The sequence below is a fragment of the Homo sapiens genome, chromosome 17 (genome assembly GCF_000001405.40).
Source record: "Homo sapiens chromosome 17, GRCh38.p14 Primary Assembly".
NCBI lineage: Eukaryota > Metazoa > Chordata > Mammalia > Primates > Hominidae > Homo > Homo sapiens.
The window spans coordinates 50,740,538-50,759,823 of NC_000017.11; the positions used below are offsets into that span (position 1 = coordinate 50,740,538).

General features: G+C 38.9%; 1 protein-coding gene across 9 annotated transcripts in view, besides 1 other annotated feature; it reads left to right on the forward strand.

Annotated features, from left to right (window-relative positions):
* The window catches only part of LUC7L3 (LUC7 like 3 pre-mRNA splicing factor), a 36,617-nt gene extending 20,935 nt beyond the window's left edge, over positions 1–15,682 (forward strand). For 4 of the 9 annotated variants that reach the window (NM_001330330.2, XM_006721943.3, XM_047436248.1 and 1 more), the window contains 8 exons: positions 565–709; positions 1,120–1,194; positions 3,169–3,273; positions 4,115–4,276; positions 5,183–5,466; positions 6,005–6,165; positions 9,964–10,104; positions 10,210–15,682. In NM_001330330.2, the coding sequence (NP_001317259.1) occupies positions 565–709; positions 1,120–1,194; positions 3,169–3,273; positions 4,115–4,276; positions 5,183–5,466; positions 6,005–6,165; positions 9,964–10,104; positions 10,210–10,400 (1,264 nt within the window). In that variant the 3' untranslated portion in view covers positions 10,401–15,682. Of the gene's footprint in view, positions 1–564; positions 710–1,119; positions 1,195–3,168; positions 3,274–4,114; positions 4,277–5,182; positions 5,467–6,004; positions 6,166–9,963 lie in introns of all 9 variants that reach the window. The other 5 variants (XM_005257449.3, NM_006107.4, XM_047436247.1 and 2 more) reach the window with 5 other exon arrangements.
* Positions 16,551–16,845: a silencer, noted in NCBI's record as "tiled region #5668; K562 Repressive DNase matched - State 14:Gen5'". NCBI's record gives its function as "represses a minimal TATA promoter and a strong SV40 promoter by Sharpr-MPRA in K562 cells {active_cell/tissue: K562}" and the evidence as "EXISTENCE:reporter gene assay evidence [ECO:0000049][PMID:27701403]".

Below are 19,286 nucleotides of genomic sequence, written 5' to 3' on the forward strand. Positions count from 1 at the left end.
GTCAGACTTTTTTTTTCTGTAGCCCATTTGCTGTTTTTTTTAAATGAGCCTCACTGTGTCGCTCAGGCTGGAGTGCAGTGGCATGATCTCAGCTTACTGCAACCTCCGCCTCCCAGGTTCAAGGGATTCTCCTGCCTCAAACTCCCGAGTAGTTGGGATTACAGGTGCCCACCACCATGCCTGACTAATATTTTGTATTTTTAGTAGAGACAGGGTTTCACCATGTTGGCCAGGCTGGTCTCAAACTGCTGACCTCAAGTGATCCACCCACCTCGGCCTCCCAAAGTGCTGGGATTACAGGCGTGAGCCACCATGCCCAGCCCCGATTTTATCCATGAGACTTGTCCTAGGTCCAGGGTCATAGATCCAGTACAGTGGTAAAGCTAGTGGTTAAACCCCTGTGTAAAGCTCTATGATGAGGGGCAATCAGAAAGTCACTTCAAATACACCTGGTTTACCCTGCAGCCTAAATGGAATAGTCGTTGAGGCTAGTTAAGATAGAATATTTGAGTTGTAATGGCTGAAGATTTGGAAATGAGTACTTGTTTATTTTCATGTTACCAGGTATGAGAAGAGCTCTCGTTTCATGAAAGTTGGCTATGAGAGAGATTTTTTGCGATACTTACAGAGCTTACTTGCAGAAGTAGAACGTAGGATCAGACGAGGCCATGCTCGTTTGGCATTATCTCAAAACCAGCAGTCTTCTGGGGTAAGTGAAGTCAATTCAGTCTTTGTAAACGGTCCTTGTTTTCTGGAGATTCAGAGACCTCCCTAATATTTTTGAAACTTGTCTTCTGTTCATTACTTTGTTCTTTAAAATGATATGAAACTTATAGGGCATTCATTTTTTTTCCAGTCTTTATTAGCAAACATAACACTGATTTTGCTAACCATAAGATTTTTCTTTGTTTTTATTTTTCTTGAGGCCAAGATTTTTCCCTTAAATAGTAGTAACTGACAATATGTGATTGACCAACAGAAGTTGAAGATAATTGAATTACTATCCTTTCAATTAAGCATTTTAATTATTAAATAGAAATATTATGTATGGTATGTGCAAGTTTGCATGTTTATCTTTGTTTTCAACTTGTTGGTAATACGTTTTATTGTCTTCAATAGGCCGCTGGCCCAACAGGCAAAAATGAAGAAAAAATTCAGGTTCTAACAGACAAAATTGATGTACTTCTGCAACAGGTGAGAATTGTGTGCATTAATGTCAGGAAGTAATGTGAAACAGACATGTAACCAGCAAAAATACAAGGATGGGCCAGGCATGGTAACTCATGTGTATAATCCCAGCACTTTGGGAGGCCGAGGCGGGAGGATTGCTTGAGCCGGAGAATTTGAGACCAGTCTGGGCAACAAAGTGAGACCCAGTCTTTACAAAAATTAGCCAGGTGCAATGGCGTGTACCTGTGGTCCCAGCTACACACGAGGCTGAGTTAGGAGAATTGCTTAAGCCTACAAGGGCGAGGCTGTAGTTAGACGTGTCTGTGCCACTGCACTCCAGCTTGGGCAACAGAGTGAGACCTCGTCTTGTGTGTGTGTGTGTGTGTACATGTACATATATATGTATCTGAAAGGACAGCAAATATGAAAAGACGCTCAACACTATTAGTCGTTAGGGAAATACAGATTAAAACTGCAATCAAATACCTATTTGACACCTATGAGAATAGCTAAAATTAAACTGATCATACCAGCTATTGGCAAGGATGTGAGCCAGCTGGAACTGGGGTATAATATTGCACAACCACTTTGGAAAAAATAGTCTCATTTTTTTCTTTCATATTCCTGTAGATGATATTGGAGTCTGTTTTGTTGTCGTTGTTACTGTTTTTTTGACAGTCTTGCTTTGTCACCCATGCTGGAGTGCAGTGGTGCGATCTCAGCTCACTGCAACCTCTGCCTCCCAGGTTCAAATGATTCTCCTGCCTCAGCCTCCCGAGTAGCTGGGATTACAGGTGTGCGCCACCATCCCCGGCTGATTGTTGTATTTTTAATAGAGATGGGGTTTCACCGTGCTGGCCAAGCTGGTCTCAAATTCCTGACCTCAAGTAATCCGCCCACCTTGGCTTCCCAAAGTGTTGAGATTACAGGTGTAAGCCACTGTGCCTGGCCCTGGAGTCTCTTAAAAAGTTAAAAATGTACCATATGCCATTCTACTCCCAAATATTTATCCAAGAGAAATGAAAACATATGTCTACACAAAGATTTACACTCCAGTGTTCATGAGTGCTATATTCATAATGGCACAAAAAAAATAAAACCCAGACTGGAATCAATTAAAATACCCATCAGCAGGTGAGTGGATAATTAAATCATGATGTATCTATATGGTGGAATGCCTGTCAGTAATAAAAGGGAATTAGCTACATGAGACAATATGGGTGGATCTTAAAATAATTAGGCTGAGTGAAAGAAGCCGGACAAAAAAGGAATATAGACTCTATGACTCTATATAAAATTTTAGAAAATGCATATTAACCTACAGTGACAGAAAGCAGATCTGTGGTTGCCTGGGGATTGTGTTTAGGATTCAGGCTGGAGGAGGTACTGAAAAGAGTAGGTGGCTCACACCTGTAATCCCAGCACTTTGGGAGGATTGCTTGAGCCCAGCAGTTCAAAACCAGCCTGGGCAACATAGTGAGACGCTGTCTTTCCTTTTTTTTAAAAAAAAAAACAGAGTCTCACGTCATCATCCAGGCTGGAGTGCAGTGGCACGATCTTGGCTCACTGCAGCCTCCTCCTCCTGGGTTCAAGCAATTCTTCTGCCTCAGTCTCCCCAGTAGCTGGGATTACAGGTGCCCACCACCATGCCTGGCTAATTTTTTTTTTTTATATTTTTAGTAGAGATGGGGTTTCACCATGTTGGCCAGGCTGGTCTTGAATTCCTGACCTCAGGTGATCTGCCCACCTTGGCCTCCCAAAGTGCTTGGATTACAGGCATGAGCCATCGCGTCTGGCCGAAAGTGCATTTTTCTTAACACATCAGTTATACTTTATTGAAGTATAAAAAAAATCCAGGATAAATTAAACCCAAAGAGGCTTTTGTAAATGAAACCAAACAAAAAAGATGGAAAACAACCACTAATGAACCATGGGGAAAAAAGACAATAGTTGGGTTTGAAAGAAATCTTAACTGTTTTTTTCCCCTACTCTTCTAAGATTGAAGAATTAGGGTCTGAAGGAAAAGTAGAAGAAGCCCAGGGGATGATGAAATTAGTTGAGCAATTAAAAGAAGAGAGAGAACTGCTAAGGTCCACAACGTCGGTGAGTAAACCTTATTTCACATTATCTCATCTGTCTGTTAACAGTTAGTAGGAACTCATTTTTATTTGAGAACCTTTGAAAACTGATGTTCCAAACTTAGAGTCAGCACAATTTGTAGCCCACAAGGTCTGTGGCATCTACTAAGCTCTGCCTTTGTGCAGTATGCAAGCAACTTTATATAGTACAAGAAACAAATGGGTGTGGTTGTATCCCAATAAAATGTTAGCAAAAGGCCTCTCTGGCTTGCCAATCACTGCCTTAAACCATAAATTTTCATATGAGCCTGGTTTTATTTTCATTTTTGTTGTAATAAATTACTCAGTACATACTTACATCTTTGTTAAAAATTAATACACCCTTAAATATCTAATTCTTTTAATTGGAGAATAGAATATACTTGTTTCAGATACTATTGATTGCAGAATGTAATTGGTCATTGGTTCCTCCATATTGAATAGGATATGTTCAGATTATAGTCAATGTGCTTAGTTCCTTAATTAGTTTTGTATATGGACATTATTCCTTGAACCTAAGCAAGGAATGTATTCATACTAAAATAGGTGGCTTTCTGAAAGGTGATTTAAATTTTGTAAGGTAATGTGGGTGTTGAACATTGAACAGTGGGTCTCAACATTTCTTCTGGATGATTCAGTAAGTTAGTTGCTGTTACCTTAAACATCCCTCTCTAAAAGTTGACCACTTGTAGTCCAATATTACTGATTTGGGGAAATGGAAAAGAGCAATTCACACACATTAGAAATCTTTTCTAAATGTTGAGTACTTTCCTGGGATTTGTTTCTCTTCCTCAGATGTTCTTAAAATAACTGATTTATCATTTTAGACAATTGAAAGCTTTGCTGCACAAGAAAAACAAATGGAAGTTTGTGAAGTATGTGGAGCCTTTTTAATAGTAGGAGATGCCCAGTCCCGGGTAGATGACCATTTGATGGGAAAACAACACATGGGCTATGCCAAAATTAAAGCTACTGTAGAAGAATTAAAAGTAAGTTTTTTTGTTTGTTTTGAGGCAGATTCTTGCTCTGTCACCTAGAGTGCAGTGACGCGATCTCAGCTCACTGCCACCTCCACCTCCCAGGTTTAAGCAATTCTCATGCCTCAGCCTCCTGAGTAGCTGGGAGTACAGGCATGTGCCACCAGGCCTGGCTAATTTTTGTTTGTTTGTTTGTTTGTTTATTTTTGAGACAGTCTCGCTTTGTTACCCAGGCTGAAGTACAGTGGCGTGATCTCGGCTCACCGCAACCTCCACCTCTGGGGTTCAAGCAATTCTCATGCCTCAGCTTCCTGAGTAGCTGGGATTACAGGCACACACTACCACGCCCGGCTGATTTTTGTATTTTTTTTAATAGAGACGGGGTTTTTTCCTGTTGGCCAGGCTGGTCTTGAACTCCTGCCTCAGGTGATCCGTCCTCCTCAGCCTCCCAAAGTGCTGAGCCACTGCGCTCGGCCAGCGTAAATTTCTTCTAAAGATACATTTTAGCTATTAAAAAAATCTATTTTAGCTATAGCTACAGCTTTTAGCTATCAGTAGCTATAGATAAAAATAACTATATTCTAATATGGCTTAAATGGAGATATGACCCTCTCATTGATATTTTCCTATGTGTAATTATTTTTGAAGCATTGTGAGTTCTGTGAAATTTTGCTATTTATTGAACTATGAAAGCACTTGATTTTCTTAACTCTTGAGTGCCAGAAATTTGGGAAGAATATTCCTGAGGATTAGACAAATAATGATACCTTGTGTATATACATGGTGTTGGAATGTCTACATTTCCCTTAAGGGCATCAATTCCATAAGTTGGTCTACAGATAACTTCACATTAGTTGACCATTGTTTAACAATGCTTTAAAGTTACATTTGCATAAGAATCCAACTTGATTTTTCTAGGAAAAGTTAAGGAAAAGAACCGAAGAACCTGATCGTGATGAGCGTCTAAAAAAGGAGAAGCAAGAAAGAGAAGAAAGAGAAAAAGAACGGGAGAGAGAAAGGGAAGAAAGAGAAAGGAAAAGACGAAGGGAAGAGGAAGAAAGAGAAAAAGAAAGGGCTCGTGACAGAGAAAGAAGAAAGAGAAGTCGTTCACGAAGTAGACACTCAAGCCGAACATCAGACAGAAGATGCAGCAGGTCTCGGGACCACAAAAGGTCACGAAGTAGAGAAAGAAGGCGGAGCAGGTATATATAAAACACCCTAAGACTGTCCAGCTCATAATGGGTGTGCAATAACAATAATAACTACTAGTATTATTCCTTGGAATGGTACTTGGGAAGCTCTTAAGCATCTTTAAGTGATAGGATGGGTTGCGAGAGCGGAATCAGTGAATAAAATAGTTCCATCTTCGGGGCAACTTCTGTGCCATTTCCCACCTGTCTAGGAAATTTCACCCAACCTTTTTACAAAGTTAGAGTACCTGATGGTCTCTTAAGTGCTTGTCTCACTGATTCCGAGAAATAAAATATGAAATCAGCCATACTGTTTTAATTATAATTACAAATTGAAGAAGAGTCTTAAAGAGCACAACGATAACCATCTTAGCACTATTGGAGATGAATTTAGAAAGATTTTCAATAATTTTTAGTTCTTAAGATTTCTAATGTAAATATGTTTTAGAGGGTAAGTTTTGCCTAGTCTTGTTAATTAATAGCATCTACTCCAAGGCCTTTACTTATTGTAATACTGGCTGAAGTTGCCTTTTGGTTTTAAATTATTAAGAAGTAGAGATCGACGAAGAAGCAGAAGCCATGATCGATCAGAAAGAAAACACAGATCTCGAAGTCGGGATCGAAGAAGATCAAAAAGCCGGGATCGAAAGTCATATAAGCACAGGAGCAAAAGTCGGGACAGAGAACAAGATAGAAAATCCAAGGAGAAAGGTTAGTTTATATGAGAATTCAGTTCATTAAGAAACTTTTCACACCCTAATCGCCCCACTCACTTTTCTCCAGACACAGGCAAAGATCCATTTCATACATACTCCTTTTCACTTTGAGGAATGCCATTCAGTAGGAGACAGGCATTCTTTCCCCCTCTCCTACTTAGATTTGTGAAAATGACAGTTTATCTGGTGTTTTCTTAGATGTTAAAAACATCTTTCAGTTGATAAACCTGAAGGTTTTTAATGTAGCTTCTTTTAAGTGTTATATTACCTTTCGGGGTTATTAGGTGTAGGATTTATTATATTACCTTGGTTATTGGCTCCTTTTTTTTTTACACACTGCAGTGTTTCATAATACGTCTTATAAAGTGAGTGTACATTGTTGCATTAATCTTCATTTGTAGCATTCATTTAAGTTAGTAATTAACATCTAAGTACCTAGAAGTTGAATTGCTTACATGTGTCTTACCCACGTTTTCAATGGGATCAACATGCTCTTTCCCCTTTACTTTTTCTTTTTTCTTTTTCTTTTTTTTTTTTTTTGGTGTGGCATCCCAGTAGCTGATTTACTGTGCTGTTGGCACTATTAATGGACTTTTTAATTTGTGTGGCATGTTTTCACAAGAATATTCTCATCTAACTTAGCCTTTATTGGAAGATAATTCTGTTAACCACCAGGGTCTCCTTTCTGAGTTTCATGTTCTTCTATTTTGTATTTTTTATATAAAAGATATAAAATATCTTTTATTTTGTATTGAATGAGCTGTTGTGCTTTGCATGGTTTTAGGAATGAGAGAAGGGGCCTATTTCTGATTTTCTCAGCTCTCCTTGTTTCATTTCATTCTACCTGTCTCCATGTTTAATCACCAGCATAATATATGTGCTACTATTAAGGTTTATTATACTAGTCTTTTGTGTGTTGTTTGTTTATTATATCCTTTAATAGAACTGTCCTGGTTTTTTGTTTTCGTTTTTCCTCTAGACTCAGCTAGAACTAGCAGCACAAACCATGGACATATTTTTTGGTCTCTGCTTTTATTTTCTTAAAATAAGCACACACTCTTTTTCTGAAATATTTAACATCTATTGGCTTTTACTGTAATGTGAGAAAGTGTTGAAAACTTTTGTCTTCCTGCCAGATGTGCTAGTGTTTGCCATTCAAGTTGAGAACTTGCTTCTGATTCAAAAGGCAGTTGCTACAAAGGGTTAACTGATTTAACATTAGATTTAAGAATGTTTTACCTAATCTTTTTGCAAGACTTTCTGTGTAATGTCTTTTTGGGTTGAGAGGTCAACTCTTAAGAGCCAGGTATGACTGTCAGGTCAAATTAATAATATTTGTTTTGAGAAAGTTTTTAGTTTTACATTTCCTATTGTTAGCTTTAGTTGCTCTATTCTGTGTTATCATTTGTGCCACTTAAAATTGTTGGGTTGGTTCTTAGGGATAAAAGCTAGCTAGCCTTCATAACTACTTGAAGTCAAAGTTGAGTAGTAAATGACACTGGCCTGACTAAAAACAGGCATATTTGTGTAATTTCTGGATAGAGCAAAAAGATGTCCAGAGTTGCTTACCTTTAATCCTAAAATTGTAATGATGATGACATGAAATTTAGTGAAACTTTTTTTTTTTTCCAGACAGGGTCTCAGTGTCACCCAGGCTGAGTGCAGTGGCACGATCACAGCTCACTGCAGCCTCTACCTCCCCGGCCCAGGTGATCCTCCCACCTCAGCCTCCTGGGTGGCTGGGACTGTAGGTGCATACTACCATGCTTGGCTAATTTTTTTTTTTTTTTTGGGGGGGTAGAGATGGGGTTTTGCCATGTTGTCCAGTGTGATCTCGATCTCCTGGGTTCAAGCAATCCTCCTGCCTCAGTCTCCTAAAGTGCTGGGGTTATAGGTGTAAGCCACCATGCCTGGCCCCTAGTAAAACTTTTCGTTAAGCGGAATAAGCTGAGTTACGTTTAGATTAGCAACAGACAGGGATTTTCCATGTGAGACTTGGTGCAAAGAGAGAAGTTACTAAGAAAACTGTATCAGGCTTGTCTCCCATGATTGGGTATGCTATGATAGAGTTAAACATTGGAATCTCTTTTAGAAGTGATATAATTTATTGGCATTTTGAAAATGCTATGTAAAAATAAATTAATTAAAATCAGTGTGCAGATGAGTGAATTTAAAAAATGTAAAAAAAAAAATACAGAAAAGAAACTACCATGTAGCCATCTAGGCACTCTTATAAATGACTGAAGATCTGGACTTTGGGACCAGGTGTGAGCCACAGTGGGCATTTATTAATGGCAAATGAGAAAAAGCAAGTTTATTACTCCAGGTGCTATGATAGAAGCAGTTTATCTTACTCCACAAATGAAAAGTGGTTTCTCACACAAAGCTGTCAGCAACCAGTGTAAGGTGCTCTCTTTGTCAAGAGAGTTTCCTTTTTTCATCCATAGCCCTAAAATCCACCACAAATTGTGGATGTCCTTAGGACTATTAAGATCTACCATATTTACATAGGGCAGAAGATAAGATTATTGGACTGACTACTAGTCCTCTACGGGACAACAAGACGACTCTTCCTCATTGAAGCTACCTGTGCACCGGAGAAGCCCATAAGGCACAAAGGGAGGACTTTCCCACAAGGTCAGTTAGAGCCCACTGTCCTGGCACAGTTCTCACAAGTGGACAGACAGACATGAAGCAAGTCTTGCGCTTAACTACTTGGACATTGCTTTGTGTATTATGCAAGTGTTACGGACTAAATATGCTCTTTTACATAAGATCTTCAGTTCTCTGAGTGGGTGCCCCTCCCATACCATGTTTTGTTTTTCATTACCATCTCTTTCCTAGATATTTGGTGTTACGTCTTCATAACTGTGCAGAAACTATGTAGAGGGTTCTGTTTCTCTTAAAATGTCTTTTTGTCTAATTAACTACTCTGCCAGACCAGCTATTCTTAGTAAGGGGAAAAGTAATTTTTCCAGAAAGTTTCTAGTTGGCTTTAACATTTTCTGTAGAAATTTTTTGTTGGGGGAATACTTGGAACTGAAAAGGCTAGACTATGCTTGCTCTGGTGTACTACTTTTACCTCTAGTCTGAGGTCTTACCCATCCAAAGAATAGTAGAGGAAAAAGTTGTTTACCTTTTTCATTCTTCATTTGCAGCTGAGTTGAATTTTAATTTCTCTTTTTGGAAAAACAACTCTCAGATGGCATATATATTACTTTTCTTAGCAAAGCACAAAAGTTCAGTTGCTTAGATTGGGATTTAAGATCCATTTTCTTTGATTAGGCTTATCCTTCTTGGATATTCAAATATATATAAAAATAATGTTTTGCATTGAAAAATATGTAGTTGTAGTTTTTAAAACATGCCTGTTATAAACATTCAACTTTTTTTCACCTTTTGGGGTCTCCATTTTTACCCTTCTAACTTAATAATTGAACCTCATGTGAACATAGTTTTGTATGCTGTCTTTTATACCTTTCCCAGTGCTTTTTGATGTTTTTTACCCACAATGAAATTTACTTAAATATTATATTCTGCAATGTGCTTAATAGCTTCTCACCAATTGAGAGAATTTACCCACTATTTTACCTTTTGCTTCCTTGAATTCCCCTTCCTGCCTTCTCTCTCATATATTACAAATTTTATCCCTTTGGTAAATTCACCAAACCGTTGCTTGCAGTCTGTGGGAAATGATTGTCTCTCATCTCTCAGTTGTTTCACTTTTTTTCAAAATCATGTCTTTATTGTATTTTACTTTAAAATCCATGGTCAATGTCTTCTTTTATGGCAGAAAAGAGGGGATCTGATGATAAAAAAAGTAGTGTGAAGTCCGGTAGTCGAGAAAAGCAGAGTGAAGACACAAACACTGAATCGAAGGAAAGTGATACTAAGAATGAGGTCAATGGGACCAGTGAAGACATTAAATCTGAAGGTGACACTCAGTCCAATTAAAACTGATCTGATAAGACCTCAGATCAGACAGAGGTAAGTGTATTGTTTCTCACTTTGATTAGGGCTTTTTGTTACTGTTTGACAGTGCAGCGTAAGTATGCACAGATGAAGATGGAACTAAGCCGAGTAAGAAGACATACAAAAGCCTCTTCTGAAGGAAAAGACAGTGTAGTCCTGCAAAACATTTTGAGGTACATTGTTTTGTCTCAGCTATTTTGTAGCAGACTCGTGCCCCCATTAGTGTGCCTCTTTGGAAATTATCGCCCACATTTGTAATATAGTCGCCATTGAAAAGTTAATTATCCTTTTTTTAGGGATTTTGATGTCATTTCTTTTTTTTTTTTAATAAAAAGGTTGAACTGTTTTTTTTTTTCTTTTTGGTATTAAGTCCATCTTGTGTTGGTACATTGGCAGAGACATATGCTTTAAAAACTTAAATATTTCGGAGGCACATGTTGGACTACTTTGTTTTAATTAAACTGCTAGTATTTCTTTGTCAAGGATGTTTCTAGTTTTTTGCTTTATTGCCTTGCATTCTAATGCAGTTTGTTCTGTAACTCGAGAGCCAGTAGCATTGGATTGATGGAAGTGTAGGGTTTATGAATTATTGCAGCTGACTACCATACCTCACACAGCGTTGGTGTTGTGAGCGGCCCATGAAAAGCCAAATTAAAAATCAAGGATTCAGTCAAACTAAGCAGGTACTCATGCCAGGTACTCCTTTCTCTACCCACATCCATGTTTGAATGCTATTGCCTGTGATCTTTACGCTTAACTGTTGTGTATCTTTTTTGTTCTTTACAAGAAGTGCAGAGGGGTTTTTTGTGTATTGCGTGAAAACTTATAAAACAAATGTTAACAGAATGGAATTTTTTTTCAACTGTATGTAGGGCTGCAGTGGTGGCCAGAATTAGATATCTTTAAAGAATTTTAAATACAATAAACACTTCATATTATTCGCCTTGTTACACTCAATGCAATTCTCAAGTCTATAAGAGGTATGTGCTTAATATTTCCTACTGTGTAGGAGAATTTGCAGTCAGCCATAGGTATGTAGGAATAGTCACTCACTGGCTGATACATTTAAAGCAGCAGTGTGAATAGCAAGGACAGACACCTTCAATTTGTGAAATCAAAGAACTGATGCACTATATAGAACGAATTTGGGTTTTTAAAGAAATATTAAAAGTTAGGTACTGTAAGTGTTCTTAAAACCTGTAAACTTCATTCTGTGGGCTAGTGGTGTGGGACAAAATATTCCTAATGAAAGGAAGTACCAATTAGTTGATTTGTTGGTGGCATTCCCCTTTTGGGAAAGCAATGTAAGGTTATGTCTGTGTATGTCATTCACACTTAGGCAAGCATACACAGGCACATGGCTTTAAGAACCACACTGATGCCTTGATAATTAAAAAGAATACAAGCATTCCATGTACACATGTTAATTAGCAGTTAGTGACTGGGCCAACACTTTCTCATAAAAATTGGCCTTTTACATGTTGTCTAATTATCATTTTTCCCCAAATTTTGCGTTGTAGGACTACTGTTCGAAGATTTTTGGAAGAATACTGAGAACGGCATAAAGTGAAGATCGACATTTAAAAAATGAGGTGAAAGAAAGCTATAGTGGCATAGAAAAAGTATAAAGCTCAGTTAGTTTTTTTATTATTATTATTATTAAAAGTTAATTCAGGACTGATGTGACCTACCAGATTTCAGAACATGTGTTAATAGTATATATGCCACTGAAAACTTAGGTCCTGTATCATACTTTTTTCTTTAAGACTTTTTAAGAAATATTACTTAAACATGTGGCTTGCTCAGTGTTTAATTGCAAGTTTTCAATCTTGGACTTTGAAAACAGGATTAAACGTTAGTATTCGTGTGAATCAGACTAAGTGGGATTTCATTTTTACAACTCTGCTCTACTTAGCCTTTGGATTTAGAAGTAAAAATAAAGTATCTCTGACTTTCTGTTACAAAGTTGATTGTCTCTGTCATTGAAAAGTTTTAGTATTAATCTTTTTCTAATAAAGTTATTGACTCTGAACTAGTCCCCTGTTTTAAATACAAGAGTTACACTATTACTAGAGGTGTTGGTGTACAGTTTTATCTGATTTGTTCTGTTTAAGACTAATTTTTATAGACTTTCTAATGTTTTAAATAATGGTGCTTCAATTTTAGGTGGTTATGAATAAATTTGAATTTTGCTTTTAATAGCAAAGATGTGCAGTGAACTAGAATATATTTTTACATCCCTGAGAGATTCATTTAGTAGAAAATTCCAAGTATCCTGACAAGCACTCTTTAGCTGGCTAGCTATGGGATGATGTAGAAAAGCATTCAAGAGCTAGTTTTTGTTAAGTCCTGTATCAAGATTAACCCAGCTGTGTCAGTTTATAAATGTATTTGTGTATAGGGTGTGTAGTATATATGGCAAGGGTTTTTTCCCCCCACTTAAGTGATTATTTTTGTGTCACATCTAGGAAAACCGGCAGCATGTTTCTATCTATAGCCAGCTTCTTCGACTGTATAAAAGTATTCTCTCCAGCTACGTATATACACACATACATATATATCATAGCAATTCCTTGTGGTTTATAACTTGCAAATACTGCTATCAGTTTATAGGTAAAGAAACAGTGTGTTAAATGACTTATCCAGGGAGGGTCCTGTGGCTTCATGTTTATGGAGTTGCTAGGTCTCTGCCTCATGGTCCAGTGCCTGTTAAGCCACTGTGTTCATTCTAATAGGCATAATGAATTGTTAAAGAATTTACTAAAATCTCTTCCACCAAACTTTGAAAAATAATGAAGCCGCCCCCACTTTAGAGGCTCTGTATGAAAAAATGCTGTGGAGACAGAGCCCTCCTGGCTCCCTAGCTGATCCTGGAGATGCAGCAATAGATGAATGGGTTATCTCTGAATTTGTAAGAGATAATTCACATGAGGATTAAGATAAAATGGGAAGTAAAATCTAACAAACACAAAGATAGCTCCCAGGCACTGCTTTGTGTAGTTTGACAGCATTGTGGTTGTAGCAGCAAAGGACTTAAAGTGATAGTTTTTAAACCATATTCTGTCCCTAAGTAATAAAAAATCTAGGAAGTTACTAAAATACCAGATTTGTTCTGCTCTGCCTCATCTAGAATCAACGTCTAACTAACTTAAATGAAGTATAATAAATGAGTTCATATGAAAAGGCTTCCTCTATGGACACTTAGATATATTGTAACTATTGAAGTTACCTGGGATGTGGGGGTGGTGGGAGGAGGACCTGCCTCCCCAGGACATCTATGACTAAGGCCTGGCTTTAGTTATGGAGAGAGACGTAGAAGTTGAATTTTACACCCAAAATTGATGTGACTGAAGAGGAACTGATTGTTGCTAACCAGCTCACAAGAATCCAGTATTGAGACCAGTTCACTAGAAGAAACAAACATTTCTGCCATGCAGACCAAAAAGTTATTAGTTGGTGAATATGTATTTTCTCTTTGGAAGGTCTTTAAGGGGAGCAAACCAGTTTTAATCAATCAGATTGCTTGGTAAGTTTGGAATCTGCAATCAGTTGGTCTTAAAAAAAAAAAAACTTTATTTTGGAAATTTAAAGACATACACAAAAGAGGAACAATATAATTAACCTCTGTTAACTCATCACCAACAAGACTCATGACCACTTTTATACTTCATGAGTGATTGTATTTGTATCCACTGTTTTCTATTATTTTCGAGCAAGTCTCAGACACACCATTTAATCTGTAAATAATTCAGCATGTATCTCTAAAAGACAAAGACCTCTTAAATAACAGTTCATTAGTATAAAACAAATTGGGTAAACTTTTGTTGGTCATCAAACTATATTAGCACTGGTCCAATAGTTTAATTTTCATTGAGCCTTTCAAGAGGACCGACCAGTCTGCTGCTCAAGACATCCTCTCCTCTGGAATGTAGAGATAATACATATCATGCTCCTTTTTGTTAAAACGTTTTTTTTTCCCCTTCAAACACAGTCCATTCATTTTTCAGTTTGGGTTGAAACATCCTTTTCTTGATCTTGAGCTTATAATAACCTAGTCATATTGCTCAGCTCAGATATTTTTACTCCCTCTCCTTAGGCATTCTGGTTCCTTAAATATAGTTAGTGTCACAGAGGATAAATAACCAACCTTATTTCTAAGGTCTGAGAACACTTGGACCACATATTGGTTGAGCTCAGCCACCTTCTGATTAAAGTTTTCAGACTTGTAAGAACTGAAAATTTTTATGGTGGAAGTTCTCTGAGCCCTCATCCATTCTGTTTTTAAAAATGCATTGCAGATGGGCTATGTGAATATGTTTTTAAACATCTGATATGTGCATGAAACAAAAAACACTTGAAGTTATTATGTATACAATTCTGTGGGATGGGACTTCATGCAGGATTGGTTTTCAAGTTTGATTTCCTGAGGGATTTTTTAGTTGTTTGTGAAAGAACCCCAGGTCTACTTTTGAAATTTTGTATTATAATTGTAATGTTGCCCATGGTTAAAAAAAAAAAGTGTTCAGTGATCTATGTCTCCTACTACTCCTATTTCTCTGTTTTTCCTCTGCAGGAGCTTGCTGCTGTTAACAGTTATTCTTCCAAGTTGTTTTCTTTGTGGGGAGATGGGAGGTGGGAGGAAATATAAACATATATGTATAGATCTTTCAAAATATATGACGGTATACCCGTATGTTCTGAGTCTTGCTGTTTTTACCTGGTAATATTTAGAAACATTTATTTTGAGATAAAGGAGAGCACTTTTAAGTTGAACCTGTAGTTTTAAAAAGTACATTTCAAGTAAGCCAAAGCAGAGAAGTAAATGTATTTTTCATTGTTGTATCAGAATTTTGAATTTACTATTTTAAAAATTCAAGAGTTTTGTAGCTGATCTATTTCTTCCCCTCAGCCATCCCAAATAGGTCATTTGTCAACAGATTTAAGAATGTTTAGAAACAACAACTTTGGGAAACGGGAAACAATTTGGTATAAGTGGGTGTGCCATAACCTCTCTCGTAGCCATTCATTCCCGGATACATACCCTAGAGAAACTCTTACACATGCGTACCAGGGGATGGATTTAAGCATTTGTGTGTAATAGGAAGAAAAGAAGAAAAAACCCGGGAAGATCCCAAGTGTCCACCAACAGTGTGTTGGATAAATACTGTGGTATATTCCAACAGTGGAATTCCACAGAAGTGAAACTGAACTGCAGCTGTGTATGTGAACATGGACAAAACTCAACAATAGAAGGATCAAAAAAAGCAAGTCACAGAAGAATACATCACTATGGTTCCATTTCAATGAAAGTCAAAAACAGGCTGTCAAATACATGATAAAAGGAAACGATTAAGACAAAATTTAATGTTAGCCGTTTTGATGGAGGGAGAGGTGATCATGAGGGCACAGGGGTCTTCAGAAGAACTGGTGAGGGTCTGTTTCTGAAGCCTGTGGGCATTTCCTTTTTTAATCTGTATGTTTATGTGCTTTTGTATGTATGATATTTCTTAATAAAATTTAAAAAGAAGAATGGGAAAAAAGTCTTGGTGTAGGTAGTTACTAATATATAAGCTGTAGTGTATTTCGTAAAATTAACCATCAGTCAGTGACAAATTTAAAGATGCTGTTTCTTGAGTGCCCAATTTAAGGTTTTATTTTGTTTGAGACAGGGTCTCTGTCTTGTCACCCAGGCTGGAGTGCAGTGGCACGAGCTCAGCTCACTGCATCTTTCGCCTCCTGGGTTCAAGCCATTCTCGTGCCTCAGCCTCCCAAGTAGCTGGGATTACAGCTTCGCACCACCACACCTGGCTCATTTTTTTGTATTTTTAGTAGAGTGTTTCACCATGTTGTCCAGGCTGGTCTCAAAACTCCTGACCTCAAATGATCAGGCCCACCCTGGCCTCCCAAAGTGCTGGGATTACAGGTATGAGCCACCGCGCCCAGTCTTCAAATTGAGGTCTTAATTGTAACTCTTAAAAAGCTAGAAACGGCGACAAGAGCAAGACTCCGTCTCAAAAAAAAAAAAAAAAAAAAAAAAAAAGAAACCTAAATGTATGTTTTCTGTGTGATACCTTATTTTCATCTTAACATAGTTTCTACTTGTCTGCCAGCCAGGGAGCTGATGGTTTTGTTTTCCTGTCTAAACAGCTTCCAAAGAAGCTTTTCTCAGGCTTATGCCATTCTGGGAAAGAAAACTGCTTTACTGTGCTGTACTCCTTCCCCTGGCCCAAGTTAGGTTGTTACCTCAGAGAGGCTGCTGCTTTGGCCTTGTTCTAATTTTAGTAGGGGTACTGTGAACACAAAAATGTTTACTCTTTAAAAAGAGGAAAGTGACTGAAATTTGAATTGGCAGATTCATAAGGTTCATATAACTAAGGCCCTACGTCAGTTTACAGCAGCCCTGTTACCCCTCAACTATGCTCCAGGTGAGACTTGGATCCCCTCAGTATGAGCATAGGGCTTGGCTGTGAGTTCATCCAACACATCCCCGAGTGCTCCTATGTGCTGTGGAGTGACTGATACCTTTGGATACACCAAGAACAAAATAGGTGCAGCTCCAGGTCCCTCCGCTATGGAATCTGTCCTCACTGCAGCAGTGGCACCCTCAGGGCTGTGCCTTGTACACAGGACTTCTGAAAGGGGAGTGGAAAGGGGTGGTGCTGTTGAGTTACTAATCACCCTATTAGTTGAAAGTGCAGAGTTAATGAACAACTAAGAATTCTAGGTCATTTCATATTTTATTTTAACCTAAATAGTTCTGGGACTTCTTAGGATGGCATTTTGGTACGTGATTAATTTCACTTAAGGCCATTTTAGAATCAGTGGAATTGGCCGGGCGCGGTGGCTCACACTTGTAATCCCAGCACTTTGGGAGGCCAAGGCAGTCGGATCATGAGGTCAGGAGTTCAAGACCTGCCTGGCCAACATAGTGAAACCCTGTCTCTACTAAAAAAAAAAAAAAAATTAGCTGGGTGTGGTGGTGGGCACTGTAGTCCCAGCTACTTGGGAGGCTGAGGCAGGAGAATTACTTGAACCTGGGAGGCGGAGGTTGCAGTGAGCTGAGATCACACCACTGCACTCCAGCCTGGGTGACACAGCGAGACTGTCTCAAAAAAAATAAAAAATAGGCTGGGCCTGGTGGCTCACCCCTGTAATCCCCAGCACTTTGGGAGGCTGAGGTGGGTGGATCACGAGGTCAGGAGTTCAAGACCAGCCTGGCCAACATAGTGAAAACCCATCTCTACTAAAAATACAAAAAAAATTAGCGGGCATGGTGGTGGGCACTGTAGTCCCAGCTACTTAGGAGACAGGCAGGAGAATTGCTTGAACCCGGGAGGCAGAGGTTGCAGTGAGCCAAGATCGTGCCACTGCACTCCAGCCTGGGCAACACAGTAAGACTCTGTCTCAAAATAAATAAATAAAATGAGTTGGAATTGCACCTTACTCAGGGATTAGTTTTTTATAATCGATGTGTGAGGTGAAAACTAATCAAATTACTCTTGAAGCTCTTCAAATTTTGTTTTACTGATAATCTGCAGCCTTAAGACTTATTTGTGTTATAGAAAATGAGTTTTGGCTGGGCGCAGTGGCTCACACCTGTAATTTCAACACTTCGGGAGACCAAAGCGGGCACATCACATGAAGCCAGGAGTTCGACACCAGCCTGGCCAACATGGCAAAACTTTGTCAAAACTATTTTTAAAAATTAGCTGGGCATGGTGATGCATGCCTGTAATCCCAGCCACTTGGGTGGCTGAGGCATGAGAATCACTTGAACCTACGAGACAGGTTGCACAGTGAGCCGAGATCATGCACTCAAGCCTGGGTAACAGTGATATGCACCCCCCCAAAGTTTTTCTTTTTTTCTTTTTTTTTTTTTTTTTTTTTAGAGATAAGGTCTTGCTATGTTGCTCAAGCTAAACTTGAACTCCTGGGATTACAGGCGTGAGCCACTATGCCTGGCCTCAAAATTAAAAAAAAATAAGCAATTTAGATGCTGACCTGAAGTGCTTCTGTCACCTTGTTACAGGAGGCCGCAAATGCTAACTAAGCAAGTTGCAGATGGTCCCACATGACGTTTCTGAATGAAACAGGACACTTCTTACTATTGGAACCATTTTTCTCTGTTTTGAACAGTTGGATAAGGGAAGTCTTGACGTGCTGCCTATGTGTCCGCTGCCCTTCATCAAAGTTGAGCTACTGAGAAATTGGAGTTGAAGGAACAGTGGCTAATGGCATGTGCTGGGATGCAAGTAAGACATTATGCTTGGCCATAAGGAGTTCTGGTATTTTATGTATACCTCTCCCACAAGCTTTAGAGATGACTTCGTGGTCTAGGAGGAACAGGTGTGTAAAGAAGTGACAGTGTGGTGTGTGTGAATAAAAGTGGGTAGATAGGGTCAAGCCATTGCATGAGCCCGTACAAGGTGCAAGCAGAGTTATTAACTAGAATTTGGCAAGGGAGCTGACCCGGAAGGATCCTAGGGAGTGTGTTAGGGAGGAATGTAGCATGGGATGTGATGACAGCTCACTTTAGATGTTAGTGAGGGCACCAGCTGGTTTTTCAGCTTATTTCACAGACCAGTGGCATGGGCTGTGCCTCGCCTGTTCTGTAAGTGGTATGTTAAAAATAGCCTCAAAGGTATTAATCGTTATTGGCTGGGCATGGTGGCCACCTCTGTAATCCTAGCACTTTGGGAGGCCGAGGTGGGAGGATCACTTGAGCCCAGGAGTTCCAGACCAGCCTGGCCAACATAGTGAGACCTCGTCTTTTTTTTTTTTTTTTTAAACGGAGACTTGCTCTGTCTCCCAGGCTGGAGTGCAGTGGCGCAATCTGGGCTCATTGCAACCTCTACCTCCCAGGTTCAAGCGATTCTCCTGCCTCAGCCTCCTGAGTAGCTGGGATTACAGGTGTGAGCCACTGCGCCCGGCCAAGACCTCGTCTTAAAAAATAAAATTTAAAAAATACTTGGACAGATGCGGTGCCTCACACCTGTAATCCCAGCACTTTGGGAGGCCGAGGCGGGCGGATCACTTGAGGTCAGGAGTTTGAGACCAACCTGTCCAACATGGCGAAACCCCATCTCTACTAAAATTACCAAAATTAGCCAGGCATTTTGGAGCATGCCTGTAATCCCAGCCACT